This window comes from Homo sapiens, chromosome 14 (assembly GCF_000001405.40).
Source record: "Homo sapiens chromosome 14, GRCh38.p14 Primary Assembly".
Taxonomy (NCBI): Eukaryota; Metazoa; Chordata; class Mammalia; order Primates; family Hominidae; genus Homo; species Homo sapiens.
Window position 1 is genome coordinate 64,731,552 of NC_000014.9, and position 21,716 is coordinate 64,753,267.

The window sequence follows — 21,716 nt, forward strand, 5'->3', positions numbered from 1 at the left end:
GCCCTGCCCCATCTCCTCTGCCATCTTCTCTCCTTCCCAAAGGATCTGGGCTCCCCTTCTTGTCTGCTTCTTGGGGCTCCAGCACCACCCTTCTGAGATCACCCTCCCTGCTTCCCCAGGCTGTCAACCTTGTGCTTGACTGTCCTTTCCCTCTGCCCCTAGTGCTCCTCCCTGATGCTGATCGAAAGCACCAGAGACTCCCTGTGCTTCACTGTCACCCACTACAAGCACAGCAAGCAGCAGTACAGCATCCAGGTGAGGGGAAGGTGGGGCTCAGGGGCTAGGGAACAAGATGCCCAGGGGACACCTGCGTGGGACTCCTGGCTCCTCTGCTCACCTAGCTGCCCCAAGCCCCAGTGTCTCCATCTGTGAGGCAAGGATCATTGCAGGCACCTCTCAGGGTCAAAGTGAGGAGTCAGGTTAACCTCACAGAGGCCCCAGCATGGCCCCACTTTTTCTCCCTGGGTGGAAGCACTGTCCATGCTAGACAGCTTCAGGCCTGTAATGATAACCACTGGGTCCCTTTCCCTTGGGTCCTCCCAGGCCAAGACAGTGGAGGAGAAACGGAACTGGACTCACCACATCAAGAGGCTCATCCTAGAGAACCACCATGCCACCATTCCCCAGAAGGTGAGTTCCCCCAGCTCCTGACTGTGTGCAAGGAGAATGTGCTCCTCTGAGCCAGCTCTGCAAGGTCCATTGGGGGCTCACCTTCTGGATTTGGGCTCCAGTGGACAGTGAGTGTCAGTACAGCAGATGCCCCGGGCCTTGGTGCAGCACTGTGGGGTGTCCTCGTACAGCAACAGTGGGTCCTATGGGCAGGGAAGGCCGGCACATGGTAAGGTAATAACCAGGTGTGTTTCCTTCCCCTTCAGGCCAAGGAAGCCATCTTGGAAATGGATTCCTATTGTAAGTGTACCCTTTTCTGCCTGTTTTGTCCCTAATCGTGCACATTGCTAGGTCAGGCTGCATCCTGGGGAAGCTTTACCTGATAATTTTATTCCAGGAGCAGGGAGGGCGGGGGTCTCCTGTTAAGGGCTGGGGGGTGAACTACATGATTAAGGATGCTCTCCTGCTGAGCGGTGGGACTCTCAGTGCCTGAAGCTCCCAGCTGGAAGATGGAGGGAGCTCTGGAGGCTCCTGGCCCTGGAGCTGGGTGGGTATAGAGGTCTGGCTGGTTATGGACAGGGTCTAGGGTAGGCCAAGGCCAATTGGGAATCAAAAGCTTGATCGTCTCTCTCCTGGGTGCAGATCCCAATCGGTACCGCTGCAGCCCAGAGCGGCTGAAGAAGGCTTGGTCCTCCCAGGATGAGGTGTCCACCAATGTGCGCCAGGGGCGCCGGCAATCTGGTAAGAGAAGGGCTGTGGAGGCAGGAGGCCTCTCCCTCACACCCTTGCCCAGACTGGGGACCGTCTGCGGCAGTGTCCAGGGCTGTGGCTCTCACCTCTGCGGAAACCCTGGGAAAGGCTAGAGCGGGGCTGGACACACACCTGGGGCTCATCCTCTCCCTGTGCTGGTGCTCCCCACACCAGGTACCCCTGGGCCCTCGTTGCCTACCAGGTCTGGAGCCCACCTTTTTCTTACTTTTTTCTTTTCTTTTCTTTTCTTTTTCTTTTTTTTTTTTTTTTGAGAGATGGAGTCTTGCTCTGTTGCCCAGGCTGGAGTGCAGTGGCTCGATCTCGGCTCACTGCAACCTCTGCCTCCTGGGTTCAAGCGATTCTCCTGCCTCAGCTTGCCAAGTAGCTGGGACTACAAGCGTGCACCACCACACCCAACTAATTTTTGTATTTTTTAGTAGAGATGGGATTTCACTATATGTTGGCCAGGCTAGTTTCGAACTCCTGGCCTCAGGTGATCCGCCCGTCTCGGACTCCCAAAGTACTGGGATTATAGGTGTGAGCCACTGTACCCGTCCAGCCCACCTTTTTCAAGGCCCTAGGAATACTTGCTCGCTCCGGCCTTGGCACCCCTTCTTAGCCCCCTCCCTCCTTTGCCTCTCTGGAATACCAACACCAAGTCATTCAGGAGTGACACTTGGACATGGCGGATGGGCCCAGCCCAGTCCTGGAACAACCGAGCAGAAGCAGGACCCGGGGAAAACGAGTTCAGTGGCACCAAACCCAGACAGGAAATATTTATTTTGGGTCTCAGGAAAAGGTTCCATTTTCCTCCCTTGAGTTTTCTTCCATTCCTGGACTTGCTAGGGTGTTCTTGGATTATTGGAATGAATCGTCTATTTGAAAAGAGAAAACCTTGCTTTTATTCTAAACTCCGTGGTGATGGGTGTGTGTGTTTTCAAAATTGGTTTTTTCGTTGCTATTTAGTGCAAGGCCCAAGGACAGGTCTGGCTTAAGCCAGGTGTCTGCCAAACATATACCCAAGGTGGGAGTTGGGGTGAGAATTGTCTTTAAGACCCTGGGAGAGAAGGATTCTAAAGTGACTGAGAGTGGTGTCCTGGCTTGGGTCCCACAGATGTGTTGGGTTTTGATTGGTGATGACCTGTGGGTCCCCTGAATGTGTGTGTGGATTGACATGTGGGTGTTAGCCTTCGAGAAGGTGGAGCAGTGGCTTATAGAAGGCTTTTGTGGTTTTATGTTGTTGGTATTGCTCTGGGTGGATCTTGAGCCCTAGGCCACCTTGCTATGGTTGCAAAAGTTTTATGGTTTTTATAGTTAAAAGCTCCAAATAGGGGTGTTGCTTTCTTCTCTCTAGCCCTCTTTCTTTTCTCTTCTCTTCTCTTTTCTTTTCTTCTCCTGTAATTCTCTTCTTGTCCTCCTCAACTTGCCATACCTTAAAATTTGAAGCTTCTAGCACACTGATGTGTTCAGCAAGTGATAACGTTGGTGGTAGTGATAGTAGCTCTATCCTAGTGTTAGCATCGAAACTTTAGCTATGGATGTACAACTCTTTGAATATACTTAAAGCCGTTGAATTGTACACTCTAAATAGGTGAATTGTATTTGAATTATATTTCAATAAAGCTGTTACAAAAAGCCCCCAAACTTTAGGTGTCCAAGGCACTCAGGAAATGAGCCATTTTAAAGAGCTGAAGTTTCCACATGGCTGAGATTTTTAGCCTGTAAATACTAAGAGTTGGATTTTTTCAAAAAATATTTAAAAAATGTTTTAACAGTTATGAAATTCCCTCCCTCCCTCCCTCCCTTCCTTCCTTCCTTCTTTCCTTCCTTCCTTCCTTCCTTGTCTGTCACCCAGGCTGGAGTGCAGTGGCACCATCTCTACTCACTGCAACCTCTGCCTCCCGGGTTCAAGTGATTCTCCTGCCTCAGCCGCCCGAGTAGCTGGGATTACAGGCACGCGTCACCACGCCCAGCTAGTTTTTTTTTTGTATTTTTAGTAGAAACAGGGTTTCACCATGTTGGTCAGGCTGGTCTCGAACTCCTGACCTCAGGTGATCCACCCGCCTCGGCCTCACAGAGTGCTGGGATTACAGGCATGAGCCATCCCGCCTAGCTGAAATAGACATCTTTCTAAAGCATGTTTTGTACTCTTGAGCCTTTTAAAACAGAAGGTGCTGGCCACCGTTGAACCTTTCCTTTTCTGGAGTTAATGCTACAGCATCACTTAGGGTGTGTGAACTGCCAGATGCTTGAGGGGCCCCAGAGGCTGTGGGTTGCCATAGAGACAGCCTGTGTTTGGTGTGTCGTGCCCCTCTTCACGGTTCTTCTGTAACACTGAAGTATTTGTTTTCATTGGTCTAAGTATGCTTGTCTGTAGTAGCCCTTCTTCCCCTCCTGTCTGTTAGAAAGCGATCGTTCAGGCCAGGTGTGGTGGCTCACTCCTGTAATCCTAGCACCTTGGGAGGCTGAGGTGGGAGGATCACTTGAGTCCAGGAGTTCAAGACCAGCCTGGACAACACAGTGAGGCCTCATCTCTACAAAATTAAAAAGTTAGCTAGGCATGGTGGTGTGCACCTATAGTCCTAGCTACTCTGGAGGCTGAGGTGGGAGGATCACTTGAGCCTGGAAGGCAGAGGTTGCAGTGAATGGATATCGTGCCCCTGCACCCACCCAGCCTGGCTGACAGATGAGACCTTGTTGCAAAAAAACAAAACAAAACAAAACAAAAAAAGAAATCAATCTGTTGAACTTGTGGGAACTGTAGACCACAAAAAGATCAGGAAAGTCACTAGGGAGGGACTTGGGCCACATGCAGGCACTTTACTGCCTGGGCTCAGCCATCTACTCTGACTTCCTTGAGGTTTTTTCTGCTTCTGCTTCCCACTCAGAGAGCTGAGATGAGCTGACAAGTGTATTCTATTGATAATTAAGTTCTATTGTTTAATTTAAATTATGTCTCACTTATTAAATATTCTTGATAAGTTTTAAAATGAAAGAATAGAACATTTTCTACTTTTCACTTTAAAAACAATTAGGCATTTACTTACATTGATACAGATAGTGTATGTATGTTGTGTGTGTCAGCAGAAAAGAGGTTCTTCAACAGGCCTGCCTGCTGAGGAACAGCAAGATACCTTGGTAGACTTTCCTTCTGACTCCAGGTGTGTAGCAAATCATGGCGATCCCTGGGCCTCCCACTTACCGCCAGCTGGGCAAGGATATGGATAGGCGAAGGCCGAGGCTCTGTAGAACTGGACCTTGAGACAAGGTCCTCTTATTCCTGCCCTCCAGTCTCAGGTGTATCCTCAAAAAGGCTGGGGTACACGGTGATGACACCATTGGCCTAATGGATGTGTTTTGTATCCTGTCCCCAGAGCCTGGTCACTCTCCGTACAGCCGGGCAACTCTCCCCAGCGGTCAGCGAGGCTTCGTGATGCCCAGCCTTAAGGGCCGTAGAAAGTCGGGTGCGACCTCTGCTTTCCAGCTGGGATGCTGTGAGGGGCTTGGCAGTGGGTGTAGCTGATGCGCTGATATGCTCATTGCCAGGGAGGCAAGGGGCTTGAGGTGGAGCCAGGGACCTCCGGAGATGTTGCTAGTTGGTCTGAAGGGGGTAGCATGGAACTGAGTCCCCTCCCTATGGCTCCTGCGCGAGGGCCCTGGGCCAGGTGCCCTAATGCATTGCATCATGGGTGGTACTGCTCCGGCAGGGCTGGTAGTCACAGCGGGGGTCCTGGAGATGGATGGGCCCGCCTCCCTGTCCGTAGGTGCAAGGGGGCTCGCCGACACTGTGGAAGGCAGCTTCCCTGGGGCCTATGACTGCAGGGGGCCAAGCCAGAGTGGACTTTGAGCTGGTGATGGGCTGGTGGCGCTGTGAGCTTGGGACCCAGCCAGGCACAGCAGTTTCCTGGCCCGCGCTGACTCTGCTCATGCTTTCCTCCTCAGAGCCAACCAAACACCTGCTCAGGCAACTCAACGAGAAAGGTGAGTGTGTGAGGTGGCCAGCCATTCCCAGTGAGCGGGGGAGGAGGAGGGAGGAGGGGAAGCAGCCGACAACCTGGGGTGTGACCTGAGGGTGGAGGATTGTCAGAATAGTGTAGAGGGAACTCTGCCTCCATTCCCCCCAGAAGAGGGCCTCGCCCCTGGCTGGCTGAGGAGAGGGGCTGGAGCTCTCCCCCATGCACAGGCCTCATGCCCTTTCCTCCGGAAACAATGAGAGCCGAGCAACAGGCACAGACCTGCGCTGCTCTGTGGCCCCTGGGCCCCTGCTCTGTCAGTCATTCTTTTGAAAGCCCAGGAGACTAGGTGAGGGTTCTGGGAGCAGGAGCCCCCAGTGAGGACTTCCCCAGGGAGCTGTCCAGAGGTCTTTTTCCTGCTTACTGATCTCTTCCCCTCCCCTCCCCTGCCCCTCGCCCGTGTGCTGGGGGACCCGGTGGTGATGTCTGCAGCCCGAGCAGCAGGAATGAAGGTAAAGGCCAGTGGGAGGAGGGGACTGGCTGACAGAGGAGGGTGGGACTGCCCAGGTCAGCCCCCGGCCCCTTCAGCCCTCATTGTCTTCATTCATTCAACAAATGCCTACTAAGCACCCACTGTGTACCAGGCTGTGTGGCTTAGGGCCACAGAGATGAATAAGACATGGGCCTTGCCCTGGGGGCCCTTCTGCACCCTCTGCCTAGAACAGCACCCTGCTGGGGGCCTGCCCAGTGTGGACCTACTCAGATTTCCCTCTCCCTAGGGTAGACAAGTAGGCAGGCCTGTTTGGGTTCTGAAGTTTTGACCAGGTCCCAGCCTTTCCACCATGAGAATGCCCACCCCTCCCTGGACCCCAGTGGCAACCTGAGTTGGGCATCTAGGTGTGGCTTTCTGTGTGAAGGCTCCCCCCCCGCAGCTGCCTGCAGGAGGACGGGAGGTTGCCCAAGAGGCTGGTCACGAGGGGGTCTTGTGCTCTGAACAGCATGCAGGCAGTGCTGGAACCCTCCTGGACTTTGGGCAGCCCTCCCGTACTCGGGGCCTGCAGCCAGAGGCTGAAGGGGCTACCCAGGAGGAGGAAGAGGAAGAGGAGGAGGTGGTGGAGGAGGAGGAGGAGGAGGAGGAGGAAGAGCAGGCCTTTCAGGTCTCTCTGGAGGACCTGACAGGGCATGAAGGCAACGAGAAGGGGGCTGGGCCGGAGCCCCCAGGCTCAGAGGAGGAGGAGGAGGAGCAGGAGGAGAGCCTGGCGGTGGCGGAGCAGGTAGCCGACTTTGCCAGCTCCCTGCTGGCCGCCCTCCACTGCTGGCACTATCGGGCCAACGCTTTACTTTTCTCCCGGGGCGCTATGGTGAGGTGTCTCTTCGATCTCCCCTCCTCCTTGCATGCTCCCTGGGATGTGCATGCCCACCCGAGGGCCCCCTCTGCTGCCCTCCTCACCCCACCCTGCCCTGGTTTTACTCCTCCCCTCAGCACTTAACACCATCGCTCGCTGTCACACCCTGGTGAGCCCCTGGCATGCTCTGTTCCAGTACTGGGCACTAATCAATATAACGCCCAACAAGCATGACAAGTGGGGTGGGGTGGTGGGGGCAGGGAGAAGCTAGCACACAGTGGGGCTGGAAAGGTCAAGTCCACTTTGGAGGGACAGAAAGGTGGGCTGAGGTTTTTTGAAGCTGCATGCCTGACAAGGCTTTCCGCAGCCCCAGGCCTGGCAGTTCAGGTTGGCTCTGGAATGGCTCAGGTCCAAGACTGGCTCTCAGCTCAGCCCAGCCCCTTGGGGCGTGGGAGGCACTGCCCGTGTTGGGATGCAGAAGGGATCAGCTTCCAGTTGTCTTGGAGTTGATGACTGACCTCTACCTCTGCAGGGAAAGGGGCGCAGGGAGTCTGAAAGCTCCAGGAGCAGCAGAAGGCCCAGTGGCCGGTCTCCAACCAGTACTGAGAAGCGCATGAGCTTCGAGTCCATTTCTTCCCTGCCAGAGGTGAGCGACCAGCAGGTGGGATGGGGATAGTAGGAAGAACTTGGAGTCCAGATTTTCAAGTCTGCAAATAGGGCTTTCAGGCACAGGCTCTCCCACTGGGCCCATGGGAACAGAGATTCCCCACCTCCCAGGACTCTCAGCCCTGCATGAAGCCTGTTTGGCCTAGAGTATATGGTTTGGTGAGCAGACCACCCCTTTCTATGAAGTAGAGAAAGGCTCCCCTTTGGGCAGATGCAGTCCCATGTCAAGGGCACGCAGCTAGTGGAAATGAACCAGGTATTAGGCTCCTTTCGTTAGGCCACCTTGTATGGGTTATAAGGCCCTGTCCCTGCCAGCATGCCAGACATTGAAATCACACCTGTGGTCACCTGGGCAAAGGGTAGAGAACTGATATCTGTTGGACACCTCCTCTGTAACTGATGTGTTATTTCTTCCTACTCTTCCCCACAATGGCTCTAGAAGGAAAAGGGCACTGAGTGGTTGATGGCGTGCCTAACACTGAGCAGCTTCTGAGGCGCGGGGCTGAGATCAGACCTGGGGCTGGGACTCAGAGGCCCACTCTCCTCCTCCTGCTGCCCTATGCTGTCTGTGGGTTGTAGGAAGCAGCATCCTTTACTTTCCCAAAGTTATAAGGGAAAGATCGTGAGCTACAGCCTGGACCCCATGTTGGACCCCACAGCCAGGACTGAGAAGCCTGGATGATACTGGACAGGAATGTAGCATGATGTCTTAGCTTGAGCTGCTGTAACAAAATCCCTTACTGCTACGTGGGTAGCTTAGTTATTGCTCACAGTTTTGGAGGCTGGAAATTCTAAGGTCAAGATGCCAGCAGACCCTGGGGAGGGCTTGCCCTCTGCTTCGTAGATGGTGGCTTCTTGCTGTGTCCTCACATGGCAAAGGGGCAAGGAAGCTCCCTTGATCCTCATTTGTAAGGGATCTGACCCCACTCATGAGGATGGAGCCCTTGTGACCTAATTTCCCAAAGGCCCCCCCTCTCATTCCCATCACACTGGGTGTTAGCCTCCACATGGCAATTTTAGAGATACACAGACATTCAGAGCAGAGCAAATTGGGGTGTCAAATAATAATACAATGAGAACCACCCATTACAAAGTTTAAAAGAAGCAGATGAAATTAATTTTAGTAGTATATTTTATTTAACCCAATGTATACAGAGTATTATTCTAACATGTAATCAACATAAAAAGTTACTGATATGTTTTATCCCTTTTTTTATACAGAGTCTTTGCAATCTGGTGTGTATTTTATCCCAAGAGCAGGTTTCCATCTGGCCTAACCCCATTTCGGGTGCTCAGAAAGCCACAGTGGCTGGTGGCTCCCATGTTGAACAGTGCAAGTCTAGATCATGGGTCTTGCTCTGCAGATTCTGAACTAGAACAGAAGGAATTATGTCCGATCTTATAATTAGTGTTTGCTCTTATCTCCTTAAAGACTGCTCTGGAAAGCCGCGTATGTCATCAGTTCTGTGGTTCAAATTACTTTCAAGGTGGTCAAGAGGGAATTCTCAAGTTTGCTTTCTTCCTTGCCCATTTCCTGGGCATATGCAGTTGTGCTGGGCCCACAGGTACTGGGAGGAGCCACATTCCTGGTCCTCATCCTCTGACGAGATTCCAGCATGTGGCTGTGTTGCTCTCTAGACCCTAATCCACATGGGAGGCCCTGTCCCCTGAGGAAAATGAAATGGCCTCTCATGTTGTGCAGGTCTGGGTTTGAACCCTAGAACCTCCAAGTGAGGAGCCTCTAGGGCTTTGGGGAGCTGCCTCACCATCAGCCATGCTGGTTCCATGACACTGTGAGAACCAGCCCCTGGGAACCTGGGGCCATGCCCAACCCACTGTTGTGTGTTCCCACCTTGTCCCTGTAGCTCCTAGGCTGGCTGCCATCAAGGTGTTGCCATCCTGACCCATCTGCATTCTTACTGTTTTCCTTGGTTTTGAGGACATGGGCCCAGCACCCCCACTGTACGGTGACTAAAGGACACAGTCATGTTCCTCTAAGGACCCATCACCTACTCCTAAGTCGTGCTCATTCTGATTGCCTTGAGTCCTAAACTACAGGTCCCTGTCATTGGGCCTTGAGCAGGCCATGCTGTCCCCTTGTTCCCCGGATCCCATGAAGGAGGCTTTTTACTCATGTGAGCCTTTTCTGCTATGTTTCAGGTTGAGCCGGACCCTGAGGCTGGGAGTGAGCAAGAGGTATTTTCTGCTGTGGAAGGGCCCAGTGCCGAGGAGACGCCTTCAGACACAGAATCTCCAGAAGTCCTGGAGACACAGCTTGATGCCCACCAGGGCCTTCTGGGGATGGACCCCCCAGGTGACATGGTGGACTTCGTGGCAGCTGAGAGCACTGAGGACCTTAAGGCCCTGAGCAGCGAGGAGGAAGAAGAAATGGGAGGTGCCGCCCAGGAGCCTGAGAGCCTTCTGCCACCCTCTGTGCTGGACCAGGCCAGCGTCATTGCGGAGCGATTTGTCAGCAGCTTCTCTCGGCGGAGCAGCGTGGCACAGGAGGACAGCAAGTCCAGTGGCTTTGGGAGCCCGCGGCTGGTCAGCCGGAGCAGCAGCGTGCTCAGCCTGGAGGGCAGCGAGAAGGGCCTGGCCCGGCATGGCAGTGCCACAGACTCCCTCAGCTGTCAGCTCTCCCCAGAAGTGGACATCAGTGTGGGGGTGGCCACAGAGGACAGCCCTTCTGTCAATGGGATGGAGCCCCCAAGCCCAGGCTGCCCAGTGGAGCCTGACCGGTCTTCCTGCAAGAAGAAGGAATCAGCACTCTCCACCCGAGACCGGCTGTTGCTAGACAAGATTAAGAGCTATTATGAAAATGCAGAACACCATGATGCAGGCTTCAGCGTCCGTCGCCGGGAGAGCCTCTCCTACATCCCCAAAGGACTGGTAAGAAACTCCATCTCCAGGTTCAACAGCCTTCCCCGGCCAGACCCAGAGCCAGTACCTCCAGTGGGGAGCAAGAGACAGGTGGGCTCCCGGCCGACTTCGTGGGCCCTGTTTGAGCTCCCAGGACCAAGCCAGGCAGTCAAAGGGGACCCACCTCCCATCTCAGATGCTGAGTTCCGCCCATCTTCAGAAATTGTGAAGATCTGGGAGGGAATGGAGTCTTCCGGAGGGAGCCCTGGGAAGGGGCCAGGCCAGGGCCAGGCCAATGGCTTTGACCTGCATGAGCCACTCTTCATCCTGGAGGAGCATGAGCTGGGAGCCATCACAGAGGAGTCGGCCACTGCCTCCCCGGAAAGCTCCTCTCCCACTGAGGGGCGCAGCCCGGCCCACCTGGCCCGGGAGCTGAAAGAGCTGGTGAAGGAGCTGAGCAGCAGTACCCAGGGGGAGCTGGTGGCCCCACTGCACCCCCGCATCGTGCAGCTCTCCCACGTAATGGACAGCCACGTGAGCGAGCGCGTCAAGAACAAGGTCTACCAGCTGGCCCGCCAGTACAGCCTCCGGATCAAGAGCAACAAGCCAGTGATGGCCAGGCCACCACTGCAGTGGGAAAAGGTGGCCCCTGAGAGGGATGGGAAGAGCCCCACTGTGCCCTGTCTACAGGAAGAGGCTGGAGAGCCATTAGGTGGCAAAGGTATGACAGAAGCGGCAAGTGGGCCCTTCCCCAAGTCTAGGGACTGAAGAGTCAATAAGGAGCCACTTGGCTCCTCGGGGAAAGTGACCTCTAAGGAGGCTCTACCAAAGGGAGAAGCTGGACCCTGGGCACTAAGGGCACAGGGTGAGCCCTGGCAGCCAGTCCAGTGCTCTGAGGCCAAGCTTGCTCTCTTGGTTAAGCCCTTTTGATGCCCTCTGCTCTGGCCCTTCCCATCCAGCAGAGGCTTCTGGAGGAAGCATGGCCCCAGGCCCCTCCTTTAGCAGGATGGGAGCAGAAGCTCTCCCCCTCTGCCTTTGACTCCTGACCCCTTTCCACTGCCTTTTCTTCATTCTTCCTATGGCCCTTCATGAAAGAGGCTGTGGATGGTAAGTGAGATTTCTCCCATCACACCCAAAACCCCAACAACCAGCCTTGCCTGGAAAGTGAGTTGGGGCCTGCTCAGAGCACCCCCTTGCAGCTCTGCCCTCCCGCCCCATGCTTCAGGCAGCTTGCTCTCTCCTCATAGGTAAGAGGAAGCCGGTGCTGTCTCTATTTGACTATGAGCAGCTGATGGCCCAGGAGCACAGCCCTCCCAAGCCCTCCTCGGCTGGGGAGATGTCACCACAGCGTTTCTTCTTCAACCCGTCTGCTGTCAGCCAGAGGACCACCTCGCCTGGGGGCCGGCCCTCCGCCCGGAGCCCCCTCAGCCCCACAGAGACCTTCAGCTGGCCCGACGTCCGTGAGCTCTGCTCCAAGTATGCCTCCCGCGATGAGGCACGCCGAGCAGGGGGCGGCCGGCCCCGCGGCCCACCCGTCAACAGGAGCCACTCGGTGCCGGAGAACATGGTAGAGCCACCTCTGTCGGGCAGGGTGGGCCGCTGCCGCAGCCTGAGCACCAAGAGGGGCCGGGGAGGCGGAGAGGCTGCCCAATCCCCTGGGCCTCTGCCCCAGAGCAAGCCGGATGGAGGCGAGACCCTGTATGTCACTGCAGACCTCACCCTGGAGGACAACCGGCGGGTGATTGTCATGGAGAAGGGACCCCTTCCCAGCCCCACTGCAGGGCTGGAGGAGAGCAGTGGCCAGGGACCAAGCTCACCGGTGGCCCTGCTGGGGCAGGTTCAGGACTTCCAGCAGTCTGCAGAGTGCCAGCCGAAGGAAGAGGGTTCCAGGGACCCGGCAGACCCGAGCCAGCAGGGCAGAGTGAGAAACCTTAGAGAGAAGTTCCAGGCCTTGAACTCTGTCGGTTGATGCTGACTCCTGGGGGAGGGAGGAGTCATGTTGGAGGTTGGGGAAGAACCTGGGCATCCTTCCCCTCAAGCCTGGGCTCATGGAGCCCCTGCCCAGGGCCCTCAGGTGGGCGGAAAGTCCATCCCCTCCGCCCTTCAGGAAGGATGCTCCCGTGTGCAGGGGTCTCCTGCCTGTGCCATCCACTGGGGCTCGAGACAATTTCCCACTCACCTGTGAGGCCGGTGTGGCTGCTTCCCTTGTAAATAGTTGTTCTCTGGTAAGAAGCCAAATATTTAAGCTCACTTCTTCCCAGAGAGAGGAAGCTCTGCTCAGGCCTCCAGCGTTGGCTGGCCATGGCCACAGCCAGATGGAGGAGCCCATCCCCAGGAGACTCAGGCAGTGGCCTGGAGAGGCTTTGTTCTGTAACGGTGCCTTTTCTTAGGGTCCAGGCAGGAATGAAGCCAATAATTTATTGCTTTCCATTCTGTGGTATGATGTGCGTGTGCGTGAGTGTGTGGCCCCTGTTTATTCCCCTCCTGTCAAGAATGAAGTGGATTCAGTTCAGGTACTTTTGAGGGTTGTTGTGCTGACCCTGTGGTTGTCGCTGATGTACACACATTTCATTATTTGCCAATGGTGCAATAACCACTGCTGACCAACCCACTATGTGTGAACTCCTTCCTAGGCTTGGCTGGGGTAGGGAAGGTTATTCATGGGCCAGGGATGTCTTAGGGAGATGGAGACATGGAGGTTGTTCCTTCCACACTCAATTGTCACTTGGGCTTATGAAACATAAGGCACCCGGGTACTGGTGGGGGAGGTGGGGCAGGAGGATGTGAGGGCGGGCTTTTTCTTTCTGCTGCCTAGACTCCCATGGGCTTCTCTGTCTAGCAGCAGCCTGCTGTCCTGTCTAGGGTAGGGGGTCCCGCATGCCAGCCTTTTGCTCTTTTCCCCAAGGGCCAGAGTTGGACCAAGAAAAAGGGAGGTGGTGAGGTGGATAGACTGTTTTTCTCATAAGCAGATGCTCCCAGTATCTGGTGCCTTTTGCGTTTCTCTCCGGTCCCCAGGAAACATCCTAGAAGACAAGGATTTTTTTTTTTTTTTTTTTTGAGACAGAGTCTTATTCTGTCACCCAGGCTGGAGTGCAATGGCGTGATCTTGGCTTACTGCAACCTCCGCCTCCCAGGTTCAAGCAATTCTCGTTGTCTCAGCCTCCCAGGTCGCTGGGACTACAGGCATGAGCCACCACACCCAGCTAATTTTTTGTATTTTTAGTAGAGACGGGGTTTCGCCGTGTTGACCAGGCTGGTCTCGAACTTCTGACCTCAGGTGATCCACCCACCTCGGCCTCCCAAAGTGCTGGGATTACAGGGGTGAGCCACTGCATGCGGCTGAAGGTAAGGATTCTAAACTCGGAGACTAGAAATGTCCTAAAGGTGTCTGCAACATTGGATGAGGAGTACAAGTGCATTTTTCTGGGATGATTCCTCCCTTTTTATCACATTCTCAGAAGTATCTTTGATTCAGAAGAGTTAGGAATGCCTCCCTATTTCAGTTGGGTTTTCTGCCCTTTCTCCACAGAGGTCCAGACTCATTTTGCTTAATTTTTTTTCTAGCTGGGGCCTGGGAGGTAGAGGCTTCAGGGCCTGGGTGGTAGAGCTGCCTGACAAGTGTTCAGCAGGGCTGCTGGGTCAGGGCCCTGTGGGCCTTCTGACCCAACCTGAAGATGGGTCTGCTAAGTCTAACAAGGTCAAGGGAAGATCAGAGGGACCCAGATTCTTTTTTATCCCCCACTTGAAACGGAGTCTTGCTCTGTCGCCCAGGCTGGAGCGCAGTGGTGCAATCTTGGCTCACTGCAACCTCCGCCTCCCTGACCCTCACACTGTCCAGTGCCCTTGTGGTTACTCAGCATCATATCTTGAGACTGGCCTGGCAGGAGCCAGTGACTGTGGAATGACCACAGAAGATTCAGGGCAGCTGCCAGACCAGGGGCTATCTCTGCCCTGCGCTGCTTCTGCTCAAGAGAGGTTGTCACTAGCCTCTGATCTTCCCTTGAAGAACCCGACTGGGGCTCTTCAGAGGGTGGGGCCCAGGAAGTTGTAGTTAACCCCTTCCCCAGGCAGTCCTTACACGGCCATCTAGGTATGCCTGGGAACCTTGCACCAGGTCGGTGGTTCTCACTGGCTGCCCATTGGAATTATCTGGGGAGCCTTCTGGAAACGCAGTGCTTACATTCCATCTCCCTAGACCAACAGAAACTGCCCTCTGGAGGTGAATCCCAGGCTTAGAGATTCTGATGATTCTGCGGTCCAGTGAGTGCTGAGATCTGTCCTGAGCTCTGTGGGGAGGGGCCTGGACTGATCACTGCTTGGAAATGATTTTGCCCTACAGTAGGCCTTCAAGTTGATCAAATGCATGAATGAGCAAGCTTTTCTTGGAGTTTGTGATGAAGCCCAGGAACCGGGTGCTTGCAGTCGTCCCATAAGGCTCCCAGGGACAAGCTAGAGAATCTGGCTGTCCCTCTGTCTCCATGGTGCCAGCCCTCTTAGGCTCAGTTCAAAGGGAGAGGAGGCTAGTTAAATAAGAAACTGAGAGAAACATGGAGCATTATTGATTTATTAGAAAAACTAGTAAATGGGTTTCCTCTGGTTGGTGGAAGCACGGTTGAGCAGGTGGAGGACAGGACCCAGCTGGCCCCAGGGCCAGCCCCAGATTGCATGGTCTGTGCCCAACAGGGTTGCATTCCTCTGCAGCCGCCGCCTCCTCATTTCCTCCCTGAGCTTGTTTGTCCAAGCCACCAAGCCATGTGGTCCCGCTGGCTTCATCCTCCTCTGGATTCCTGCCCCCCTCCCATGAAGGGAGGAAGAGGATTCAGGGTCAGCCTAGGGGACCCTGGCTCCCTCCGATAGGCAGGAAGGAGGAGGGATGCGGAGGAGAGGCTGAGCCTTCCACGGGCCTCCTGTTAGGGGTGTTGGTGGAGGCCAGGTTGGGGAGGGAAGCCTAAGGACCCTCCACACCTCCCACAGCCAGAGTCAGTTGAGGCTGGGACAAAGGGGAAGGAGAGAGGGAAGGAGGACCGCCTGACCTTGCCCAGAAGGAGCTTCCTCTAAACTGCCCTGGGAAGGAAGCCTGGTATGCTGGTGTGGACTGGAGCTGTGTCAACCTCGTTTGGGAATACTGTCAAAAGACTGTAGAGTAGAATAAGGAGAGAAAAAAAAAAAAAGACCTTGCTAGGGCACTGGGAGAGCTTAGCCCTGGTGTGGCACACACAGGGTCTCCCAAAGCTGGATGCCTGCATTTTCAGTCTAGTTGGTCGAATGTCTTGGAGCCTGGGTGACAGGAGGGATGTGTGGGGAGCTGGCAACAGAATGGTCACATGCAGCTGGCTGCCCTGGACCAGGCCAGGGGACCTGGGGTGGTGAGATGCTAGCTCTTCCACTAGAGCCCTTCCTTTCTCGGGTCTGTGGAGTTGCTTGCTGGAAATGCCTCACTTCAGGTGCTGATTTGGCACACGTGGAAGGGGGAGGGTGGGCCCTTGTCCCTAGGCTCCCTAAAGACTGGCCCAGGGAAACAGTTGAGGGAGATGTTTGCCACCATCTGCCCTTCAGCAAGGAACCTGCTCTCTGCCCCAGAGGAGGACATGCCTGCAAGTGCACCAAAGGCCTACTTTATTGCTAGGTGAGTGCAGTCACCTCACTGCCTTGGTTTCCCCAGATACAGAAAGAGGCTGGTGAGTGATACACACTAGGTTCCCTGTATAGGGTCATATGTACCAAAGCCAAATGAAGACCTTGCTCACCAGGGCGGGAACCTGGGGATGTCAGGCTCCATCGGATGACGTCTTCCTTCCTGTGGCTCCTGCCTGCTGCAGTTGGTGTCACCCTGACATATAGTGTCAGGGCCACAGGGTGGAACTGATTTCTGCCGGCACTGGTCAGCACTCAGGGTTCCTCAGGGGGCCTCATTCTGGATGCCTGCCCCTGTGGCTTCTACCTGAACCTCACCCACTTCATCTCCATGGAACTAAGGTCCTTCTCACGGGGAAGGTGATAGAAACTTGACTGCAGGCCCTGGGGACTTTCATGGTTTCCTTGGGGGAAAATGCCTGCTGCCCTCCGCCCTCCCCCCCACCCCCGACCCGCTTGACTGCTCTCTTGGACCTAACCCTAGTTTGATACTGGGCCAGAACTGTGTTGCTTTCGGAGTAGAGTGGTGGGGAAAATATGGAATGAGCTTTCTCTTCCTCCAGAAGTATGACCTGAGCAGCAAGGGGAAGGCCATTCCTGGGGACGTTGGTTGCAGAGCTTCTGGTGCTCAGGGCTGGAGGGTGGTAGATATTTGACCTCTGTACTCATGTGACCCCCTCCCCGCCAAGACCTGGGGCCAGGACGTGGAGAAGCTGATCAAGGGGTACCACACCTTCATGGCTCTGGCCCTGACATTTGTCCCAGTTGTGCAGGAGTAGCTGTCACATGGGTGGTGATACCAAGACATGGCTGCGTCTGCCACCCCGAGAAAACAGATGATCAACTTTACTGTCTGCCCAGCCATTACCCTCCAAAGTCCCAGCTGCAGACAGGATGCAATTGAGCATTTGGCTTTGGGATGCTTTACTGCAGGTGCGGGGGGTATCCATCTTATATCTGGGGGCCCACACTGTCCCGTAGGGGGCCTATGTCTGTTGGATATTGCTGGTTTGGCTGCCACTGGGAGTGGGGCGAGGGTCCCAGCATTGAGAGGGAGAGCCTTAGGCAGTGTTGTGACGCACCTGTCACTCCTTCAGATCAGAGCCCTGTGCCCTAGCCACGGTTTTCAATGAGGAATGGTCTGACCTTGCTGCCCTTCCTGGGACCGCCTGTGGTGGCACAAAGGGTGCTAGAGGCACTCAGCCAGGCCCTGCCAACCGTGGGAGGGTACCCTTTGATCTGGGGGGAGAAGCAGAGAGGAGGGATGTGGTGGCCCCTGAAGTGAGAGTCCCAGTTCTGCGGAAGCCCAGTGGGAAGGAGGCTGGCAGCTCCCAAGGCCCTGCACCCAGTCTGGTCCCCTCAGCCCCCCAGAGCCCCTGGCCCAGAGCTAGGGCTTTGTGGGCCACCTGAAGGCTCCTTCCTCATGCCCCTAGGGGGCTGGCCATGCATTTCCAGTGTCTTCTTCCTTTCCCCTTTCCCTGGCTGCCACCAGGTGGGAGGTGACCCGAAGCAAGACTTGCTTTAGGAACGGGCAGCGTTTGAAGAACCCCATCAGCCTTCTCCAGCTCTTTTTTTTTTTTTTTTTTGGTTGGGGGTAAGGGGCCTGTGCCCCCTCGGCTCAGGAGGAGGGTGGGAGAGGAGGGCGTGTGCCTCAGAGAACCGTTTCCTGCCCCCAGGCCTGGAGGCCCCAAAGGCGCCAGAGGAGCTGGGAGCCCCTGTCCCTGGAGCGGAGCCAGCGCGGGCGAGGGCATGGAGGGGGCGTCGGCCCAGGACACGCGGGCGAAGGCAGCTTTTGCAGTGCAGCGTGGGGCCCGGGGGCCCGGCCCGCGACTCGACTCATCTCGATTCGACCGGCGGGCGGCGGCGAGAGGAGGCCAAGGCCTGGGCTGCCCGGTCTCTGCGCGTCCCGACTCCGCCGCGCCCGCCAGCCCCACCTGCTACTTCTTTTTGGGGAAGAAGCTGAATCTCTTCTCCTTGTCTTTCTTGCCGAGGCTGGCGTCGGGGCCGGAGAGGGAAGGCAGGGGCAGGCTCTGCGCCTTGACGCGGATGCTCTGGGACTCGTTGATGGCGGTGCTCACGCCCTGCAGCCAGGACAGCATCTCCTCCTGCGGGGCGGAGGGTCACGGTGGAGTCTGGAGGCCCACAGCCCCCCACCTCCCGGGCCAGGCAACAATGGTGGGGGCTCTTGGGACTGCCCCTTCTGAGGGGGCCTCCAGGGCAAGCGGCCTGGGGTCCTCCACCTACCCCCTTCTTAGCCAGGTCTGGGCTAGGCTGCCCGCGCTTACCTCATCCTTGCCATGGAAGAGCCACTCGCTGCCATTACTCAGCCTAGGAGGACAAAGGGTTTCCTGTCATGGAGACACCTCTGGAGGGGGCGCTGGGCAGAGGGCTGGCTCTGATCCCACAATACCCTGAGCCGAACATCCAGACCCCTCTCAGGCAGCCCAGCACTTTCTGAGAGGTCAAAGTCTGGACCATCAGCCTCTTTGATTTGAAAAACCCCTGAGGAGCAGCTCAGGCCTGGCACTGGTCCCCTACAGAGGGCCTCTGCCCTGCCACTAATGCCAAATCAAGCCATCAACCCGAGCTTTCAAAGGCCAGGAAGGCCTCACCTCAGCTTAAAGACGTGCTTCTTCTTCTTGTAGTTGGCAGCAATCTCACAGATGGCATGTCTCAGGGCCAGGGGTTCCTCCCCATGGTAGGGCATCCCCAGGGCCAGGTTCTTGGCATCCTTGTAGAAGGTTAGCTCACTGTTCCTGAGCACACAGTACAGGTTGTTCCAGGACCTGCAAAGATGCAGACAGGCAGGTCACCCACATCCTGATATGGTATCTCTAGAGTCAATTCCTATAGCTTCACCATTAAAAAAAATTACACCATGTTTGTTCTGATACATAGTAACATGTTTTATTGTTAAAAAATCATCTGCATGTAATTTCATTACAAAAAATTAGCTATTATTAACATTTTATGTATTCCTTCTAGTCTTCACATTTTCGCATTTTTTTTTTTACTAGTCACAGATAGCTAAAACTGGGTTATGGATATATTCAATTTTATATCGTGTTTCTAAGCATAACACTAAATCATGAGTATTTCTCCATATCCTCAAATATTTCTTTTTTTGCCAGGCAAGATGGCTAACACTTGTAATCCCAGCACTTTGGGAGGCCGAGGCGGGCGGACCGCCTGAGGTCAGGAGTTCAAGACCAGCCTGGCAAACGTGGTAAAACCCCATCTCTACTAAAAATACAAAAATTAGCCGGGCTTGGTGGCGCATGCCTGCAGTCTCAGCTACTCAGGAGGCTGAGACAGGAGAATCGCTTGAACCCGGGAGGCGAAGCTTGTAGTGAGCCGAGATTGAGCCACTGCACTTCAGCCTGGGTGACAGAGACGAGACTTAGTCTCAAAAAAAAAGTATATATGTAATATATATTTATATATACTTTTATTATATAATTTATATAATATTTACATATTTATTATATAACATATATACCTATTATGTATAATATATATTTATATGAAATATATAAATATATAAAATATGTATATTACATTATATATCATATACTATATAATACATATTTTATACATCATATAATGTATATTTTATACATTATATATAATACATTATATATTATACATTATGTTATATATTATATATGTAGCAATTATATATTATATAATATATAACATTTATAGTATATAACATTTATATATTATACATAATATATATAATATATAATATTTATATATAATATACATATTTTTAGACAGAGCCTCTGTCACTCAGGCTAGAATGCAGTGGTGCAGTCTCAGCTCACTGCAACCTCCGCCTCCCAGGTTCAAGCGATTTTCTTGCCTCAGCCTCCCGAGTAGCTGGGACTACAGGCGCAAGCCACCACACCCAGCTAATTTTTGTATTTTTAGTAGGGACAGGGTTTCACCACGTTGGCCAGGCTGGTCTCAAACTCCTGACCTCAGGCGATCCACCCACCTCAGCCTCCCAAGGTGCTGGGATTACAGTCCTGAGCCACCACGCCCGGCCCCTATCCTCAAATATTTCTTAAAATAATTTTGAATAGCTATGTGGAAGACTTTCACAATCCCTTTATTGATGAACCTTATAATACTGGAAAATGTGCCCATAATTTAAATAGCAATGTGATGAACATTCTTACACATAAATCTGTGCCTATAATTCTGATCTTACCTTGAAGTACACTTATAGAACTATTACGTCTTAAGACCAACAGTAAAAAATTAACTTTTTACAATATTTCTACATCCATCAGTGTATTTGATTCTCACTAAAGAACTGTGAAGGAATGAACAGGGTTTTGTTTCAGTGATTGTTTTCTGTTTTGATGAGATGTGCCAAGTATACTAAACTTTTTAAAGGAACAAATTTTACAAATAGGGCTCATGTCGGCCGGGCGTGGTGGCTCACACCTGTAATCCCAGCACTTTGGGAGGCTGAGGCAGGCGGATCATGCGGTCAGGAGTTCGAGACCAGCCTGACCAACAAGGTGAAACCCCATTTCTACTAAAAATGCAAAAAAAAAAAAAAAAATTAGCCAGGCGTGGTGGCACGTGCCTGTAATCCCAGCTACTCAGGAGGCTGAGGCAGGAGAATCACTTGAATCTGGGAGGCGGAGGTTGCAGTGAGCCAAAATTGAGCCAGTTCACTCCAGCCGGGGTGACAGAGTGAGACTCTGTCTAAACAAAACAAAACAAAACAAAACACAAAAAAAGACAAATAGGGCTCATGTCAACTGGCATGTTTGGTGAGGGAATCAAACTGATAACAGGTGGGCTAGCCCGAGCCGCTTCACTCACACGTGGGAAGCATGTTGCTGCATTTCTACAGCAACAGACTCTGTTTCCTCCTCCTCTTCATCCTCCTCTTCTGTCTCCCTCCTCTCCTCTCCCTCTTCTCCCTTACTTTTGAGGGCAGGAAGGTGGAGAAACTAGTAGGGCACATAGGGAGGAAGTTCTGGAAGGTCAGAGAGAGAAACTGACCCATACAAAGCTGGCTGCAAAGCCATTTTACGAAGCCCCATTTCTGACTCCGCGCTCAGGGATCTTTCCTCTGGCAGAAAGGCAGTTACTAAGAAGGAGCTGGGTCTTTGGAGAAAGAGCTTGCCTTGAACAAATGACTTAACCTTTCCGAGACTCTGTTATCCCCTTGGAAAATAGAAACATCAATGTCACAGGATTGTTGGGAAGATTTTATCAGTCCTAATATAATGCCTGGCACATAGTAGATGCTCAGTAAATGTTAGTTTCCCCTTTCTGGGTAGACTCTCCATTTAAGCAATAAATAAACCTCTTCAGGGCAATTGGGCCCCCAAATGGTTCCTTTTTGGAATTTGGAATCCCTTTCGTGAGTCCCCCAGACACATCCTGCATGCTCATGCTGCCAGCTGTCCCTGGGAATATGGCTGGCTTCAACCTCCTGGTGCTGCCCTATTTTCTTGGGACCCTGGACTGCTGCTAGAAAGAGGAGGCCCCTGGGGGCCCCAGGCAGAGACAGCCCTAGATAGACCAAACCCAAGGACATGACTGTTTCAGGGTCAGGAAAGGACGCAGCCTTTGAGTCAGTTCTCGGGGTCATAGAGTCACCAGATGACAGCATTAGAAGGGACCTCTGGGGGGCAACTAGGCCATGCCCCATCCCCATCACTCCCATTTTACAGCTGAGGACACCGAGGCCTAGACTGGTAAAAAGCGGGGCTCGAACAAGGATGTTGTTAGTGCCAAGACCTACCTAACCTTTAGAGCTACCTATCCCTAGCCCTGGGATAATAGGATAATAACAGCTAGTGTTCACCAAGTGCCTACTGTGTGCCAGGAACAGTATCTGTAGTGAAAAGACATACTGTTCTCATCCTCT

At 53.6% G+C, this 21,716-nt stretch overlaps 2 protein-coding genes across 7 annotated transcripts in view, besides 3 other annotated features; one reads left to right on the plus strand and one right to left on the minus strand.

Moving 5' to 3' along the window:
* Nucleotides 1-18,698, plus strand: part of PLEKHG3 (pleckstrin homology and RhoGEF domain containing G3) — a 45,826-nt gene extending 27,128 nt beyond the window's left edge. Inside the window, exons 9-17 of the mRNA NM_001308147.2 lie at nucleotides 163-255; nucleotides 544-630; nucleotides 876-909; nucleotides 1,252-1,350; nucleotides 5,302-5,340; nucleotides 5,805-5,824; nucleotides 7,191-7,304; nucleotides 9,485-10,904; nucleotides 11,431-18,698. Of these exons, the coding sequence (NP_001295076.1) occupies nucleotides 163-255; nucleotides 544-630; nucleotides 876-909; nucleotides 1,252-1,350; nucleotides 5,302-5,340; nucleotides 5,805-5,824; nucleotides 7,191-7,304; nucleotides 9,485-10,904; nucleotides 11,431-12,152 (2,628 nt within the window). The 3' untranslated portion in view covers nucleotides 12,153-18,698. The remainder of the gene's footprint in view (nucleotides 1-162; nucleotides 256-543; nucleotides 631-875; nucleotides 910-1,251; nucleotides 1,351-5,301; nucleotides 5,341-5,804; nucleotides 5,825-7,190; nucleotides 7,305-9,484; nucleotides 10,905-11,430) is intronic.
* Nucleotides 4,544-5,466: an enhancer, noted in NCBI's record as "H3K27ac-H3K4me1 hESC enhancer chr14:65202813-65203735 (GRCh37/hg19 assembly coordinates)". NCBI's record gives its function as "activates a minimal SCP1, AML or CMV promoter by ChIP-STARR-seq in primed H9 embryonic stem cells {active_cell/tissue: H9 hESC(primed)}" and the evidence as "EXISTENCE:reporter gene assay evidence [ECO:0000049][PMID:30033119]".
* Nucleotides 5,080-5,374: an enhancer, noted in NCBI's record as "tiled region #3043; HepG2 Activating DNase matched - State 8:EnhW". NCBI's record gives its function as "activates a minimal TATA promoter and a strong SV40 promoter by Sharpr-MPRA in HepG2 cells {active_cell/tissue: HepG2}" and the evidence as "EXISTENCE:reporter gene assay evidence [ECO:0000049][PMID:27701403]".
* Nucleotides 5,467-6,388: an enhancer, noted in NCBI's record as "H3K27ac-H3K4me1 hESC enhancer chr14:65203736-65204657 (GRCh37/hg19 assembly coordinates)". NCBI's record gives its function as "activates a minimal SCP1, AML or CMV promoter by ChIP-STARR-seq in primed H9 embryonic stem cells {active_cell/tissue: H9 hESC(primed)}" and the evidence as "EXISTENCE:reporter gene assay evidence [ECO:0000049][PMID:30033119]".
* Nucleotides 14,732-21,716, minus strand: part of SPTB (spectrin beta, erythrocytic) — a 133,625-nt gene continuing 126,640 nt past the window's right edge. For all 6 annotated transcript variants that reach the window (NM_001355436.2, XM_017021612.3, XM_047431724.1 and 3 more), the window contains 3 exons: nucleotides 18,430-18,603; nucleotides 18,103-18,145; nucleotides 14,732-17,922 (listed from right to left, as the gene is read on the minus strand). In NM_001355436.2, coding sequence (NP_001342365.1) covers nucleotides 17,755-17,922; nucleotides 18,103-18,145; nucleotides 18,430-18,603 — 385 coding nt within the window. In that variant the 3' untranslated portion in view covers nucleotides 14,732-17,754. The remainder of the gene's footprint in view (nucleotides 17,923-18,102; nucleotides 18,146-18,429; nucleotides 18,604-21,716) is intronic.